This window comes from Homo sapiens, chromosome 15 (assembly GCF_000001405.40).
Source record: "Homo sapiens chromosome 15, GRCh38.p14 Primary Assembly".
NCBI lineage: Eukaryota > Metazoa > Chordata > Mammalia > Primates > Hominidae > Homo > Homo sapiens.
The window spans coordinates 66,581,162-66,598,708 of NC_000015.10; the positions used below are offsets into that span (position 1 = coordinate 66,581,162).

The window sequence follows — 17,547 nt, forward strand, 5'->3', positions numbered from 1 at the left end:
TTCCCCAGGTGATTTCAAACTGCAGCCAAGCTTGAGAACGACTGGGCTGGTCGTTCTCCCTAAGTCCAAGTCTCTCCCTGCCAAAGGGGGCTAATGATGCCTACTTTCCACAGTTGCTGGAAACAATGGAGATCCTGGTGTGTTCAGGCACATCGAAACATGTAAATGGTAATGTAATAAATCTTATGTCCACCCATGGGAGGGCTTGAGCAGAAGTGGGGTACCCTCAGGCTTTCCTCAGCCAGTAGAGCCCAGGTCAAGATGCCAGCGGCAGACATTGAGCAGCGTGCTGATGGGCATGAGCAAGCCTGTATACTGCCCCCACTGTGGCCATCCTCCAAAGTGCCCCGCACTGAGCGGGAAATTCAAGGTGAGAACAGCAGATCACCCCAGGCTCAGCCCCCTTGGGCGGAGCTGCCCAAGACCATGGGAACCCACCTCTTGCATCACTGTGACCTGAATGTGAGACTTTGAGTCAAAGGAGATAATTTTGGAGCTTTAAAATTTGACTGCCCTGCTGGATCTCAGACTTGCCTGGGCCCTGTAACCGCTTTGTTTTGGCCAATTTCACCCATTTGGAATGGCTGTATTTACCCAATGCCTGTCCCGCCTCCATATCTAGGAAGTAACTAGCTTGCTTTCGATTTTACAGGCTCATAGATGGAAGGGACTTGCCTTGTCTCAGATGAGACTTTGAATTGTGGACTTCTGGGTTAATGCTGAAATGAATTCAGACTTTGGGGGACTGTTGGGAAGGCATGATTGGTTTTGAAATGTGAAGACATAGATTTGGAGGGGCCAGGGGGGAATGATATGGTTTGGCTGTGTCCCCATTCAAATCTCAACTTGAATTGTATCTCCCAGAATTCCCACGTGTTGTGGGAGGGACCCAGGAGGAGGTAATTGAATTATGGGAGCTGGTCTTTCCCGTGCTATTCTCGGGATAGTGAATAAGTCTCACAATATCTGATGGGTTTATCAGGGGTTTCCGCTTTTGCTGCTTCCTCATTCTGTCTTGCTGCCGCCATGTAAGAAGTGCGTTTCACCCTCTGCCATGATTATGAAACCTCCCCAGCCATGTGGAACTGTAAGTCCAATTAAGCCTCCTTTTCTTCTCAGTCTCGGGTATGCCTTTATCAGCAGCATGAAAACAGACTCATAGAGTGTGAGCTGTGAATGGAGGAGAGGGGTCAGGCAAGAGGCCAACGTCCAGGGGCCAGCACTCTCTTCCAGTGCCTTTCCCTTGAGTAAACATAACAGCACATACTGTATGATTCCATTTATGAAAAATAACAAGCATGTTTGTTTTATAGTGTAATATGAGTTTCTCATGGGTCTGTTTTTTATATCTATTGTGTCAGCTGGCCCTTCGTTATATTGTCTTGTCACCTTGTGTGCCTAGTTATCTTTTTTTTTTTTTTTTTTTTTTTTTCCTGAGATAGGATCTCACTCTGTTTCCCAGGCTGGAGTACAGTGGCATGATTATGGCTCACTGCAGCCTCGACCTCTAGGGCTCAAGCAATCCTTCCACCTCAGCTTTCTGAATAGCTGGGACTACAGGCACATGGGAACATGCCTGGCTAATTTTTGTATTTTTTGTAAAGATGGGGTTTCACCATGTTGCCCAGGCTGGTCTTGAACTCCTGAGCTCAGGTGATCTGCCTGCCTTGCCCTCCCTAAGTGCTGGAATTACAGGCATAAGGTGCCACACCTGGCCTGGTTATATTGATGTAGGATGGACATTTGTTTCAGACATTATCTTAGAAATTACTTTAGGCCTAAATGATGTCACGTTCCTTCATTTAGGACTTTAGTTAGCTTCTGCCAGGTATGTGGCGGCACTAGTAATCCAAGGTCACCTTAATCAGTTTTCAAGGATTAAGACTTTCTGACCTACCCTGGTAATTCAAAGCCAGAGCATAGTACTTGCAAGGGCCAGTTTGCTTCTGGTCACCCTTACTATTTTTTTTTTTTTTTTTTTTGAGACAGAGTCTTGCTCTGTCCCCCAGGCTGGAGTGCAGTGGCACAATCTCGGCTCACTGCAAGCTCTGCCTCCCAGGTTCACGCCATTCTCCTGCCTCAGCCTCCCGAGTAACTGGGACTACAGGTGCCTGCCACCACACCCGGCTAAGTTTTTGTATTTTTAGCAGAGATGGGATTTCACCGTGTTAGCCAGGATGGTCTCGATCTCCTGACCTCGTGATCCGCCCACCTCAGCCTCCCAAAGTGCTGGGATTACAGGTGTGAGCCACCGCGCCCGGCCCACCCTTACTCTTAAAATTTAAGTCCTTTGGGTTTCCCAGCCCCAAGTGTGGGGTAATTTCCCCACTGCAAGTTCTGTTCCTTCATGCCCCCAAGACTCTCATAGGCTCTGCTCAGCTTCTCAAGGTTGGCAAACTCTACCATGGCCAAAGTGGCTTCCAATGCTGGGCTCACTGGCCAGGCAATTTCTTCATATCTTCTTAGATCTTTGATGCTTTTAAGATGATTTTAAATATTTTGGCAAGTTTTAAAAGTTGCTTTCTGTAGGAAGATTGGTCTGAATAACCTAAACCTGCTTCTACTGAAAATGGAGTTTCTCTCCAACTTAGTTCTAACATTAAACTTAGGTTTTTTTTTTTTTTTTTTTTTCCTTGAGGTGGAGTCTCACTCTGCTGCCCAGGCTGCAGTGCAGTGGCACAATCTCAGCTCACTGCAACCTGTGCCTCCCAGGTTCAAGCAATTCTCCTGCCTCAGCCTCCTAAGTCCTGGGACTACAGGAGCCCACCACCACACCTGGCTCATTTTTGTATTTTTAAGTAGAGACAGGGCTTCACCACATTGGCCAGGCTAGTCTCGAATCCCTGGCCTCAAGTGATCCACCCGCCTTGGCCTCCCAAAGTGCTGACATCACAGGCACGAGCCACTGCACCTGGCCCTAACATTGAACTTAGTTCTAACATTACAGTGTTCCTACTTATTTTTTTGATCCTATAATTGTACATCTTTTTTTAAAACTGAAAATATTGCTATCTAACAAAATACACATATTTGCTTTTTCTAACAGTATGAAAGCAAAGTTTCCAAATAACACTGCTATGGTTTGAATGTGTCCCCCAAAGTTTGTGTGTTGGAAACTTAATCCCCAATACAGCAACGTGGAGAGGGGAGACCTTTAAAAGTTAATCAGGTCATGAAGACCGTGCCCTCATGAGTGGATTGATGATGTTATTTCAAGAGTAGGTTTGTTATAAAAGTGAATTCAGCTGCTTCTTGTTCTCTCTTGTGCGTGTGCTTGCTTTCTGTTGTGTGCACACATGGTCTTTCACTCTTCCGCCTTCCCCTATGTGATGAGGCAGCACAGAGGGCTAAGTCAAGGTCTCACTAGATGCCAGCCCCTTGATCTAGGACTTGCCAGCCTCCAGAACCATGTGAAATAAATTCATTTGTTATAAATTACCTATTCTCAGATATTCTGTTATAGCAACACACAGCAGACTAAGACATATACCAATATGAGCAAGAAAAAACACAGCAAGCGGTATCCACCCAGCATCAATCCTGATGTTATCTGTCCCGGGTCTATGCAGTTCCTTGGGATCTTACTGTGGTCTTTCCTCAGGCTGCTGTGGATACCCCAGGGCAAGACCCTTCCCCTCTAGGCTCAAGCTACCAGAGCAAATAAAAGTAAGGGTTGGCCAGGCACGTTGGCTCACACCTGTAATCCCAGCACTTTGGGAGGCCAAGGCGGGCAGATCACCTGAGGTCAGGAGTCCGAGACCAGCCTCACCAACATGGTGAAACCCTGTCTCTACTAAAAATACAAAAATTAGCTGGGTGTGGTGGGTGCACGCATGTAGTCCCAGCCACATGGGAGGCTGAGGCAGGAGAATTGCCTGAACCCTGGAGGTGGAGGTTGCAGTGAGCCAAGACTGCACTCCAGCCTGGGTGACAGAGTGAGATACTGTCTCAAAAAAAAAAAAGTAAGGGTTAGCTTCTAGATTTTCAAATTCAGCTTGCAAATCTTATTATTCTATTTATGTATGGCAATTTTTTTTTTTAGACGGAGTCTCACTCTGTTGCCCAGGCTGGGGTGCAGTGGCGCTGTCTCAGCTCACTGCAACCTCTATCTCCCGGGTTTAAGAAATTCTCTGCCTCAGCCTCCAGAATAGCTGGGATTACAGGCATGTGCCACCAAGCCCAGCTAATTTTTTTTGTATTTTTAGTAGAGACGAGGGTTCAGCATATTGGCCAGGCTGGTCTTGAACTCCTGACCTCATGATCCACCCGCCTCAGCCTCCCAAAGTGCTGGGATTATAAGCGTGAGCCACCGCGCCTGTCCGTATAGCAAATTTTAAGTCTCCTTTAAGAGGTCTTCAAATATCTTTGGTTCGGTTTATAAATTTAGATAATCAAACATCTTACAATATTTTAAACTGTATTTAAAAGTTAGACATATTTGAGTATTCCAGTTTTTAACTTGACTAACAAAACTTTCCTTCCTGAGTATTGAATAATCTCTATGAAATTTTTATAAGTTAAATTTATAAAAAGTAAAAATCTAAATATGGAAAATTAAAATAAGATGAATTTAAAGTTCTCTTAAGTCTTCTAATATTGCGCATAAACTTAGTAAGATTTCAACTTAAAACCCTCAGCTTATTCCATTTACTTTTGGTTTTTAGTGATAAGGTTATAACTTGAAAAGACCAATTGTCTTATACAACTATTACAGACTACCAAACACACACAGATTACCTAACACCCTCTTAACACCAAAATATGAGTGTCACAGCCAAGTAGCCCACCTGTAGCAGCTCAAGGGGTTCAACTTGCCCACTACCTAGACAGAGCTGATTTATCAAGATGGGGAATTGCAATAGAGAAAGAGTAATGCATGCAGAGCTGGCTGTGCGGGAGACCACAGCCTCCAAAGTAGCTGGGATTACAGGCATGTGCCACCTTGCCTGGCTTATTTTTATAGAGATGGAGTTTCACCATGTTGCCCAGGCTGGTCTTAAACTTCTGACCTCAAGTGATCCACCTGCCTCGGTCTCCCAAAGCGCTGGGATTACAGGTGTGAGCCACCGTGACTGTCCCCCTCATTCATTCTTCAAACAGCTCCTGTAACACCATGTCGAGGGCCATGGCGGTGAATGAGACTGAGTCTCCACCCTCACAGAGCTCCCACGCAGGGAGAGCCACAGATGGCAGCCATGCTGTGCTGCAGTAAAAGCAGTGACAGACAGCTGTGCAGAGTACGCCTCCAGCACCGAGGGGAGACGGTGGGACGGAGTGGGAGGTCAGGAAGGGGCTTGGAACACACAGACTGACAAGTCCTGGGATATTTGTGCGGACAGAACAACAGACTGTTTAAAACATGGCATGGCCAGCCTGGAAAACACAGAACGAATGGTTGCCATGCCTGAGGGCCCTTGGTGGGGCGGCAGAGAGACCCCAGGTGGGGCTGGTGGGGATCACATCGGAGCCTGGTCTGTCGGTCAGCGTGGACTCAGGCAGGCTGGGGTCCAGCCTCAACCATGTCTAGTGACCTCAGTTTCTTCATCTGAACAATATCATTCACACTAGAACCTTCCTCCCCATAGGGAGGCAGAGGAGTGCAGGGAGAGCAGGCTATGTCCAGGAAGCTGACCTCAGCAGGTCAGCTGGGCTCCAGCCAGTGCAGCCACTGTGCGGCTGAGCCCACTCACCTTCAAGGAAATCTCCTTCCCAATCCCCACTTTCCTTTTTTCTTCCTCTTCTTTCTTCTCCTCCTCCTCCTTTCTCCTTCTCCCCCACTCCTCCTTCTCCCCCACTCTTCCTCCTTCTCCTCCTCCTCCTCCCCCTCCCCACTTCCCTTCCCCCTTCTCCCCCTCCCCTTCCCCCCTTCTCCCCCTCCCCATTCTCCCCCTCCTCTTCCTCCTCCTCCTTCTCCCCTTCCTCTTCCTCCTTCTCCCCTTCCTCTTCCTTCTCCCCTTCCTCCTCCCCCTCCTCTTCCTCCTCCTCCTTCTCCTCCTCCTCTTTCTTCCTCTTCTTCTTCCCCTCCTCCTCCTGCTTCTCCTTCTCTTTCTTCCTCTTCTCCTCTTCCTTCTCCTCCTCCTTCTCTTCCTCCTTATCTTCCTCCCCCTCCTTCTCTTCCTCCCCCTCCTCCTCCTTCTCTTCTCTCTCTTCTTTTTTTTTTTTTAGACAGGGTCTTGTTCTGTCACCCAGGCTGGAGTGCAGAGGTGTGCACTGTAGCCTTGACCTTCTGAGCTCAAGTGATCTGCCCACTTTGGCATTCCAAAGTGCTGGGATTGCAGGTGTGAGCCACTGTGCCTGGCCACCTGCTTCCCTTCTTATATGAAGTATTGTCGGTGCCTCTTTACCATTCTGAAATGAATGGTATAACCATTCATTTCAGTATAACCAACCCACAGACGTAATTAAATATATATTTTCATAATTGTCATATGAAGGAGAAATAAAAAGAAAGCAATTGATAATGAATAAAATGAAATGTATTTCAGTCTGTAAATATTTTGAGCATCACTGCATTAGGAAAACTTTGTAATGTTTAATTACTCCCAGCTTTTAGCTATAAACAGAGGCACTGAGAAGGTGACAAGTGATATGCAGGTGAATACAAGGTGTTATTCTGGTAAGTCAACTACCTGAGATGGTTTTCTGAGAGAGGAATATTTCTTGATAAAATTCTACACTAAACAAAGTATAAACATGTAAACGACATTTACATAGTAGTTACATTCCCGGCAGCGCAGCTCCACCTCTTCCTCTGCCCATTCAAACTTGGCTCCCTTCCCTTCACAGGAGTTGATCCCAAGGGCTCTTTTTAAGAAAGCCCTACAGCCTAAACTGCATGGCAGAGCCTGCTTTCCAGAGAACTCCGTCCGTGACACATGGCATTGGACAGCATAGGTTACTCATGTGACTGAAGTCCTGGGAAGGGGAGCTCATTCCTGCTGGGGGCATTTGGGAGGAATGGGGCTGACTTGAAGGATAGGTAGGGCTTTAACAGTCTGAGACAGGAGGAGAAGGTCATTGTAGCTGGCCATTATCGTTGTCACTGTAAGGATGTGGCTTTGCAGTAGCACTTTATTCACACATTTCACAGGGGCCAGGGAATGGTGAGTCCTGGGGAATGGTGAGGTCCTGGGGCTGTGATGGAAGAGGAGGCTAGACTGGGGTAAAATGCACTTTATTTACAGGGCAATGGAGAGTCAGTGGGAAGAGATATGACAGGTAGGCATTTTCAGAAAAGTCTCTGGTACAAATCCATGCTGTATTAAGAGAGTTTGTACCATTGCTGACTTCTGGGTGAGATACCATGAGGCCTGTCCAGAGCGGGGACCATGGGAATGCAGATGTGAGAGATTCAGGAGTGGAAGGCGCTGAACAAGGTGATGGTTGGGTATGGGAGTGGGACACAGGGAAGGGCCAGAGATGGTCCCAAGCCAGCCCCAGCCCAGATCCAAGCATGCAGAGGGTAGCCACTGAGCAGGCATGGGTGGCTGCAGGGGCCATGGTTTTCCTCCTTCCTTGAGTGAGGAGGTAGTTTTGTCCAGGGTCCGCTTGGGGGCGCAGGTCAGCCTGTGGGGCACATCAGGCCTGGGGATTCCAGCCTCTCTCAGCGGTCTGTCTGAGGAGAGGGGCCCTGAGAGGAAGGGCTGATATATTAGGGTAACAGTAGCTAAGGTAACACGGAACTCCCCCCAGCACACACACCCATTTCAATGGCTTAATCCATTAACAGTCTGATTTTCACTCCTGAAACGGTCCCATGCAGGTGTTCCTGGCTGGCCGGCAGCTCTCTTCATGGTGATTCAGGGTTCTGGGCTCCTTCTAGCCTGTAGTTCTGTGAGCCTCTAAAGGCCTTGGTGTTCTGCACGTTCCATGGATAGATGGGGAAAGAGGGACACATTCCCTTCTTACCTGCCTTGACCAGGAAGTAACACCCATTACTTCTCACATCCCATTGCTGAGAACCAGTCATGGGGCCACACCCAGATGCAAGGCAGCCTGGGAAATGTGGTCCTTGGTCAGGCGGCCCATCCCAATGACAGTGCCACACCCGCGAAGGGAGCACAGTGTTTGGTAGACAGGTAGCCGTCTCTACCACAGCTGGTGCCAGCCAGCAGGAAATGCCCTTAGTCCCCGGCGGGCTTCCATAAACAGGTGGACACCTGGAAGTGTTGAGGGGACCTGGAGGTGCCTTGAGGCTGAGATCTGCCCGCAATAGACAAGGGGCTGTAGCGCGTGTGGAGCGTGAGCCATGCATGTACCTTCATATGTGATGTGGCACTTGTATGCTCTGTATTATACACAACCCTTTCGTTTCAAGAAAAGAAAACTGGCTCAAAGGAGTCTGAGTTCTGTGAGGCTTGCAGGCCCAAACAGCCATGAGTGTGGGACTTCAGTCATGGCCTCCTCCCTGTACCCATGCCTGGGGACAACTGTTTAAAGGCATTTTGTTCCTGAGAGCTGCCTCACCCATTATCTTCATTTTCCTAGAATTTGTCATACAAAGAACAATGTGGCTGGGCACGGTGGCTCGAGCCTGTCATCCCAGCACTTTGGGAGGCCGAGGTGGGCGGATCACCTGAGGTCAGGAGCTTGAGACCAGCCTGACCAACATGGAGAAACCTGGTCTCTACTAAAAATACAAAATTAGCCGGGCATGGTGGTGCCTGCCTGTAATCCCAGCTACTTGGGAGGCTGAGGGAGGAGAATCGCTTGAACCTGGGAGGCAGAGGTTGCAGTGAGCCAAGATCGCACCATTGCACTTCAGCCTGGACAACAAGAGTGAAACTCTGTCTCAAAAAAGAAAAAAAGAACAAGGTATAGACAATCAATAGCTTATGTCATTTTATGTAAATTACTGGTAAACAATTCAGGAACTACCTCTTCTTTTTTCCTTTAAAACCCACTTGTTTTGACCAGGCAGGGTGATGCATGCCTGTAATCCCAGCACATTGGGAAGCTGAAGTGGGAGGATTGCTTGAGCTTAGCAGTTTGAGGCCAGGGTGGGCAACATGGCAAAACCCCACCTCTACAAAAAATACAAAGATTAGCTGGGTGTGGTGGTGCAGCACCTGTAGTCCCAGCTACTCAAGAGGCTGAGGTGGGAGGATGGCTTGAGCCTGGGAGGTTGAGGCTGCAGTGAGCTTCGATCGCGCCATTGCACTCCAGCCTGGGTGACGGAGTGAGACCCCGTTTCAAAACAAAACAAAATACCCACTTGTAACCACTGCTAATTGGAGTGTATATTCAGGTCAACTTGAATCTATGCTTCCAGGTAGCCACTCTCAAATTTGGTCCAAATAAACTGTCTACTTACATTAATTCCGCCTCAGCTTCTTCCTTTTAGGTTGACAGTTTTCTGTTCCTTCTTTGTCTTTTTCTTTTTTATTGTTTGGCCCGTCCCCCTCAGTTTTCTTTTCCAGCATAACAAATTACCACATATTTAGCAGCCTAAAATAACATCCATTGATTAGCTCACAGTTCTGTGGGTCAGAGTCCAGGTGAGAATGACTGGATTCTCTGCTTAGGGTTTCAGAGGGCTGAAATCAAGATGTTGGCTGGGCTGGGCTCTTATCTGAAGGTTATCTGCTTCCAATCTCCTTCAGGTTGTTGGCAGAATTTAGCTCCTTCAATTGTAGGACTGAAGTCTCTGTTTTCTTGCTGGGTCAGCTAGGGCTTGCTCTCAGCAACTGGCAGCCACTCTGTATTATGTGTGGCCCCTCCATCTTCAAGGCCAGCAATGGTGCATTGAGTTCTTCAGATGCTTCGAATCTCTGACTTCTCCAGCTCTCGGTACCTGAAGTTCATGTTTATTTACTTCTTTTCTGTCTCTGTTTCCTGGAATATAAACTCTGCAAGAGCAGAAATCTTGTGTTTTGTTTAATACTGCACCCAGCAACTAGATTGCTGCCTAACACATAGTAGGCATTCAACACGTTTCTCGAATGAATAAAGGGATGGATATCGAATAAATGAATCACAGGATATGGCATGTGGCAGGAGTTTGGTAACCTTCCTCAAGGTGGCCGTAGTAAAAGATTTGGGCACTTTCCCAGGGCAAGGAGGTCAGCATATCTGGGTACCCCCTTTCCCCAAAGGGGAGGAGAACTCAGGAAGCAGCTGTTGAATGATGAAGGGGTAGGGCAGCACTGGATTGGGACTCCAAAGACCTAGGTTTGAGTCCTGTCTGTCCTATCACTAGCCATTGGACACAGATGCTTCTGGCTCCCATCCCTTCCTGGTTGCTCTCTGAGAGGTCTGGTACCTGGCTGGAACTGGGCCACTTAGGTCAAGGACCCATGGTAGGTTCTGCTCCTCACTGTCAGGGGCATTAGCCTTTTGATACTAATTTTCTTTTCTGCAAAGTAGGCATAATCATATTACAAAAGGATATTGTGAGAATTAAGTATGAATTAATATACTCAACAAATATTTGTCAGGCACCTACTCCATGCCAGCCACAGTTCTGGGCCCTGGGGATATCGCAGCAAAGATAACAGCAAAGATGACATGTGCTTGCAGGGTCCTAGCGGAACATCAGGCATATAGCCTGTGCTTGGGAGGTAGTCAGAGTCACTGGCTTTAGACAGACATTTAAGGCCCTCATGCTGAGGCCCTGTTTCTTCCTCTAAGTCTCTGTGCTTTCGCCATCCCTCTTCCTGCTGCTGCCTGGCGCAGGCAGCCTCCTGCACCTTCCCCCATGCCCAAGAGCAGACATCTCCCCTTTCTCACTGGGAGGATACTGCTGCCTCCCCTGAGCTCAGGTGGGCAAAGTGATGGCAGCATCGGTGTCTTCGCCATCAGCTCCATCCAAGTATTCAGGGAATTTGTCCTTAGATGTCTCCTGGGACATTTAAAGCAATTAAGGGATGAGGTGGATCATACCTGTAATCCCAGCACTTTGGGAGGCTGAAACAGGAGGATCTCTTGAGCCCAGGAATTCAAGACCAGCCTGGCCAACATGGCAAACCCTGTCTCTACAAAAAGTTAAAAAGTTAGATAGGTGTGAGCTGGGCGCGGTGGCTCACGCCTATAATCCCAGCACTTTGGGAGGCTGAGGCGGGTGGATCACAAGGTCAGGGGTTGGAGACCAGCCTGACCAACATGGTGAAACCCCGTCTCTACTAAAAATACAAAAAAATTAGCTGGGCGTGGTGGCAGGCACCTGTAATCTCATCTACTCAGGAGGCTGAGGCAGGAGAATTGCTTGAACCCGGGAGGTGGAGGTTGCAGTGAGCCGAGATCGCGCCACTGCACTCCAGCCTGGGCGACAGAGAAAGACTGTGTCTCAAAAAAAAAAAAAAAAAAAAAAAAAAAGTGTGATCCTGTCATCCCAGCTACTTGGGAGGCTGAGGTAGGAGGATCATGGGAGCCCAGGAGTCCAAGGAAGCAATGAGCCGTGATCGCGCCACTGAACTCCAGCCTGAGTGACACAGCAGACTGTGTCTCAAAGCAATTAAGACAAATATTTATTGATGTTCAGCAATGTGCTGTGTCCAATTCCTCCAGGTAGCCTTCCCAGACTGCCCACAGCAGGGCATGATCCGTCTGAGCAGCCAGTCTGGCCTGCCTTGTCTCCTGTAGCACTTTGCGCCCCACCCCACTGGGAGTCCTTATCTTATCTCCATTCCTGCTCCCTGGCTGGGAGGGCTGCTAGGGTAAGTTGCCTGAGGAAGCAATTGATTGAAGTCTTGCAAATTCCAGCTTTGACCCCTGCAACTCTTCACACTTGAGAAAATCGAGGCCAAAATAGAGTCTTCTGTTTTGCAGTTGCCATTCTAAGGCTCTAACCTCTTCCCTTTCTCTTCCTGCTACTCCAAATGACTCCTTTATCCACATCTTTAATTCCAGTCCTATTCCACTGCCTACTGCCACCCCAACTCACATATCCTCTCCAGTTCCCCAGTGTTAAGAAACCGTCCTTCCACCCTGCCCTACAGATGCCTGATGAGTGAATAGATGATGCTGGCAGGTGAGCATGGTGGGAAGAGGCGCGCTGGGATCCCGGCCTCTGCCGTGCCTCGCTGTGTGACTGAGGGGGAGACCTATAGTCACTCAGAGCCCAGGCTCCCTATGGGTTAAATTGGGATGGTTACCTCATTGTCGTGGGGGCCCTAGTATGATGCAGCCTGGTTGGAGTGCAGAGAGCTATAGAGGAGGACATGGGGAGGCCATCTGTCTGTGGGTCAGAAAAGGCTCTGGATAGGAGTCACTCTCAGGAAGAGAGGCAGGCCCAGGAGGTGGCCCAGGACAAAGTTGGCTCTCAGAGGGGAGGGGTCACCTGGGCACAACAGGGAGCCTTGGTTGTCAAGGGAGAGGGGACTTGATTCCAGCCAAGGGAGAAGAACATTTTTTAACAGTGGAATAAATTCATGTTTATGAGCTGTTCTTTCCTGTTACATAAGAGTCTTTATGAGATACGCTTTGGGAATCTCCAGACATACTTAGGGAAACTTGGCAGAGGACTGGCCAGGTGGCCTTGGCAGGAAGGGACCACAGCCTGGGAAACATGATGGTTCATACACACATCGAAGCTCTGAATGACACAGTGTCACCAGTGCCACTAACCAATGCCTCCTTCCCTCCTGAGAGTAGGGGCTGCTGCTTCTGCCTGTTTGTGGGTCCTGTAAGGTCCACCTAAGCAGCTACCCCATAGTAGACACTCATGGTTGCAGATTAAAGGGGATATCTGCACAGGCGTGCCACGCATGCGTGCTGATCCTCCCTCTGGGGACCATCTTGGCTGCCATTCCTTCAGCCCAGGTAGTAGAGAGCTGACCTGGTAGAAAGGATCATGGAGAACCTGGTGCCTGTCTACTGAGAGCAGGAGGCTGCAGACCTCAGGGAAGAGGAATTCAGGCCGTCTGAAAGCAGAGTGAGGATGGAAGAAGGGGAAAAGGCCGCATTCTATCTTAGCACAGAGTAACCAGGCATGAACACACGCATGTGTGAATGTACATGTGTGTGTGCTTGCTTTTGCACATATGTGTGAAGCAGGAACCCAGGAGACTGACATTTCAATGGCTGAGCACCAAGTCAACTTCCAAGAAATTTCTAAATCAAAAGACATTTTGTCTTGCCTCCTGCTGTATCCCTCGTATCCTCAGAAATGACTAGCAGGCCGGCTGGCTGGCTGGATTTCAGGTACTGAGGCAAGGTCACTGGTGCTCACAGCCAGGGGTCCTGTTTGGAGGGTCCCTGCCAGGCACCCCATCCCCCCAGCCCTGCCCCTTTGCCCAGAGGCCCCCTAAGCTCCTACTTTGCTGCTCTGCCATTGTCAACGCCCCGCCTCCGTCTTGAGGTCTGAGGTGGCTGTTTGTCAGGTCCCGGCCCGTGGGAAGGGTAGAAGCAGGAGCGGAGGTGTGCGCATCCCCTTTTAGGGCACAGCCCGGAAGTTGCCTCTGTCCCAAGTGCTCCTGCCCACGATGATGGAGCTCAGTCACATGGTGCCACCTAGCTGTGAAGCAGGCTGGAAAAGGTGAGCTTTAGCTAGTGGCCATGGACCCAGCCAAAACACAGGGTTCTGTGGCTAACGGAAGGAGAAAATGGGTATTGGAGGACAGTTAGCAGTTTTGTCCACAAAGTGAGAGAGAGTGAATGTGGAGGCCGGGACACCAGGCAAGAGGCCACTGCGATATTCCAGGTGAGAGATTATGGTGGTCCAGACTAGGAGGTGGCAGCCAGATGAAACAACTGGGAAGATTCTGGAAATACGGAGAAGGTAGGATCCACAGGATTTGGTATTAAATACTGAGGACGAAGGAGAAGGCGGAATCAGGGACAACATCTGTGTATCTGGCATGAACGTTTGGCACACTTATTTAGCACACATTTATCAAGTCCATCCCACTTAGCAGGCACCAGGCCCCAGTCCTACTGCAGACATGTGGCACCATCTCTGTCCTCGAGGGCATTGGAGGGGAAAGTGTAAGCCCAGGAAACATGGGGAGAGCTGCTAGATGGTTGGAAATCAGTTAGGACTGACTGTGGGTGGACAGGATTCCAGGGGAAGCAGAGATTGTCTCAAACATAGGGACCATTTGGTAGGGCTGCACACTCCTAGGGAAGAAGGCAGGCAGGTAAGCAGGAGGACTCAAGACTTGAAGGTGGCCTAAGTTATCAGAAAAACCTTTCTGGTGCCGGCAGTGATGGCCATGGTGCAGCAGCAGGAGATCTGGCTTTGCAACCAGATGGTTCTTAATTCAAATCCTGGCTCTGTTCTCATGCATTGCTGGTGAAATTGTAAATTGGATCAGCCTCTATGGTAGACTATTTGGCATTATTAATCAAAACTACAAACACACATACCTCTGTAGGAATTTATTCTACAGATATACTCACTTATGTGTGAAGCAACAAATACACAAGGCTATTCACTGCAGCATTAATTTTGTAAATGCAAAAGATTGGAAACAGCCCAAATGTCCACCAGTAGGGGACTAGGTAAATAGGATATACAGTTGATCCTTGGGTAACATGAGTTTGAACTGTGAAGTCCACCTATACATGGATTCTTTTCAATGAATATATTGAAACTTTTATTGGAGTTTTGCCACAATTTGAAAAAACTCACAGATGAATTGTATGTGTAGCCTAGAAATATTGAAAAAAAATTAAGAAAAAGGTATGTCATGAATGCCTAAAATATATGTAGATACTAGTGTATTTTATCATTTACTACCATAAAATGTACACATATCCATTATGAGAAGTTAAAATTTATCAAAACTTACACATATACTTAAGATCATATATGGCACCATTCACAGTTAAGAGAAATGTAAACAGATGTAAAGATGCAGTATTAAATCATAACTGCATAAAATTAACTCTGGTATGCACACTACTACTGTAATAATTTCATAGCGACCTCCTGTTGCTATTGCAGGGAGCTCAACTATTGCACGTATCTGCTTAGATCACTGAATGACGCTAATCATCTCTGCATGAGCAGTTGTGTCTCCAGTAAATTGCATGTGGCAGACAAAGCGATCTCTCACAGCTCTGGTGTGTTTTCAATTGCGTTTAGTGCAATACCATAAACCTTGAATCACATAATGGGACCCACATGAAGTGCCACTAGTGATGCTGGAGGTGCTCCCAAGAAGCAGAGAAAAGTCATGACATTACAAGGAAAAGCTGAATTGCTTGATATGTACTGCAGATTGAGGTCTGCAGCTGCAGTTGCTGCCATGATTCAAATAGATGATTCATCTTGTAAACAGACATCGCAAACTTATGGTATTCATATTGATAAATACAGTTCAGTACTGTCAATGCATTTTCTCTTTTCTTTCGTTTTTTTTTTTGTTTTTTTTTCTTTTTTTTTAGACAGTGTCTCATTCTGTTGCCCAGGCTGGAGTGCTATGGCACGATCTTGGCTCACTGCAGCCTCTGCCTCCCAGGCTCAAGTGATCCTTCCGCCTCAACCTCCCAAGTAGCTGGGACTACAGGCGTGCACCACCACATCCAGCTAATTTTTGTATTTTTAGTAGAGAGGGGGTCTTGTCACGTTGGCCAGGCTGGTCTCGAACTCCTGGCTTCAAATGATCCACCCGTCTTGGCTTCCCAAAGTGCTGGGATTACGGGTATGAGCCACTGCACCTGGCCTCCTTAGGATTTTCTTTTTTCTTTTCTTTTTCTTTTTTTTTTTTTTTCAGATGGAATTTCACTCTTCTTGCCCAGGCTGGAGTGCAATGGTGCAGTCTCGGCTCACCACAACCTCTGCCTCCCGGGTTCAAGTGATTCTCCTGCCTCAGCCTCCTAAGTAGCTGGAATTAAAGGCGTCTGCCACCAGGCCCGGCTCAGGGTTTCTCCATGTTGGTCAGGCTGGTCTTGAACTCCTGACCTCAGGTGATCTGCCCACCTCAGCCTCTCAAAGTGCTGGCATAACAGGTGTGAGCCACCACGCTCGGCCAGGATTTTCTTAATAATATTTTATTTTCTTTAGGTTACTTTATTGTGAGAAGACAGTATATAATACATATACTAAATATGTGTCAATTGGCTATGTTATTGCTAGGTTTCTAGTAGATTATTAGTAGTTAAGTTTTGGGGTAGTCAAAAGTTATACATGGATTTTTGACTGTGCAGGGGATCAGCACCCCAACCCCCAGGTTGTTCAAGAGTCATCTGTATTTATGCAATGGAATACTATGTGAAAAAGCATGAAGTGGCCAGGCGCGGTGGCTCACACCTATGATCCCAGCACTTTGGGAGGCCAAGGCAGGTGGATCACCTGAGGTCAGGAGTTCGAGACCAGCCTGGCTAACATGGTGAAACCCCGTTTTCTGGTTGTGGCCAGCCGGAGCTTTCAGCAGGATGTAATCAGGGCCAGGAGCTTGAAACCAGCCTGGCCAACATGGTAAAACCCTGTCTCTACTAAAAATACAAAAATTAGCCGGGCATGGTGCTGCATGCCTGTAATCCCAGCTACTCAGGAGGCTGAGACAGGAGAATCACTTGAACCCGGGAGATGGAGGTTGCAGTGAGCCGAGATCAGGTCACTGCACTCCAGACAGAGTCTCGCTCTGTCACAGGGGGAAAAAAAAAAGTGAAACTGTTCTTAGCTCACATTTGTTCTTAGTTGTACAAAAATAGGCAGTGTGGCCTTGTGGCCTTCGATCCATAGTTTGTGGACAAGTCCCCTATCCCCTCAAATTCTCTGATAGGCAGAAAAGGCACCTCTCGCACAAATGACTTCATCTGTCTGGATCTTTGCCTCCCGCAGGCCAGTGGCCATGATGCTAACACCTGTCCCCACTGCCTGGGTGCCTATTTCCAGAATAAAGGAGGAAGGGGTGGACCCCTGGGCTCTGTTCCCTGATAAGTCCAAGACCTTTGAAGATCCGGCTCCTTCTAAATTAGAAGCAGGTCTTCTCAAGAGCCTGACCCTCCTAAGTTGGGCCAGGAACTGGGGTCATCTTGGGGTAGGAAGAGGGGCAAAGTTTTGCCCCAAGGCTGCCGCTCTTCCTCTCTGTCCTCCACGCGTTTCAAGCCTGCCTCTGGGCCAGCCTCTGACACAGGCAGCTGAGGTGGCGTCAGGGGCGCTGGGCTCAGAGAGGGATGAGGAGGCTGACATATACCTGGGCCTGCCTTCCTGTGGTAGGAATGGGGTTGGGAGATTTTCTTGAAAGCCTGAGGGTGGAAGGCTCCGATGAGGTAGACTGTGCTGACCACTTCCTTCCAAGATAGCGTCTCTGATCTCCTCTCTGTTCTTTAGTTTTGGCTGATCTCCTCTTCCCTACCCTCTTTTCTTCCTCCACTCTCTGAACCTGTCTCTGTTTCCTTCCTCTCTAGTCCCCCAGCACGCCCACTCTGCTGCCTCTGAACTTTTGCTCAGATAGCTCTCTCTGCCTGCCATTCCTGTCTCCCTTTCCCACCGGAAGTTACCATCTTTCTGATCCCATCTCTTCGCTCCAGTGGGCCGGCCTGGGAGCTGTCTTCCAGATGATGAGCACATGGAGCTGGCCTGATGAGAACCACACCCCAGTTCTGTGGCCCCCAATCGCCCGGAGGGCACCTCCAGACCCCTCAGCCTGGCATTCAAGG

The 17,547-nt window shown here is 48.4% G+C and overlaps 1 long non-coding RNA gene across 1 annotated transcript in view, besides 2 other annotated features; it reads left to right on the top strand.

Moving 5' to 3' along the window:
* Window positions 1-1,028: 1,028 nt before the first annotated feature.
* The window catches only part of LINC01169 (long intergenic non-protein coding RNA 1169), a 103,609-nt gene continuing 87,090 nt past the window's right edge, over window positions 1,029-17,547 (top strand). Inside the window, exon 1 of the long non-coding RNA NR_110372.1 lies at window positions 1,029-1,087. This is a non-coding gene — a long non-coding RNA (long intergenic non-protein coding RNA 1169). The remainder of the gene's footprint in view (window positions 1,088-17,547) is intronic.
* Window positions 12,800-13,301: an enhancer, noted in NCBI's record as "H3K4me1 hESC enhancer chr15:66886299-66886800 (GRCh37/hg19 assembly coordinates)". NCBI's record gives its function as "activates a minimal SCP1, AML or CMV promoter by ChIP-STARR-seq in primed H9 embryonic stem cells {active_cell/tissue: H9 hESC(primed)}" and the evidence as "EXISTENCE:reporter gene assay evidence [ECO:0000049][PMID:30033119]".
* Window positions 13,302-13,801: an enhancer, noted in NCBI's record as "H3K4me1 hESC enhancer chr15:66886801-66887300 (GRCh37/hg19 assembly coordinates)". NCBI's record gives its function as "activates a minimal SCP1, AML or CMV promoter by ChIP-STARR-seq in primed H9 embryonic stem cells {active_cell/tissue: H9 hESC(primed)}" and the evidence as "EXISTENCE:reporter gene assay evidence [ECO:0000049][PMID:30033119]".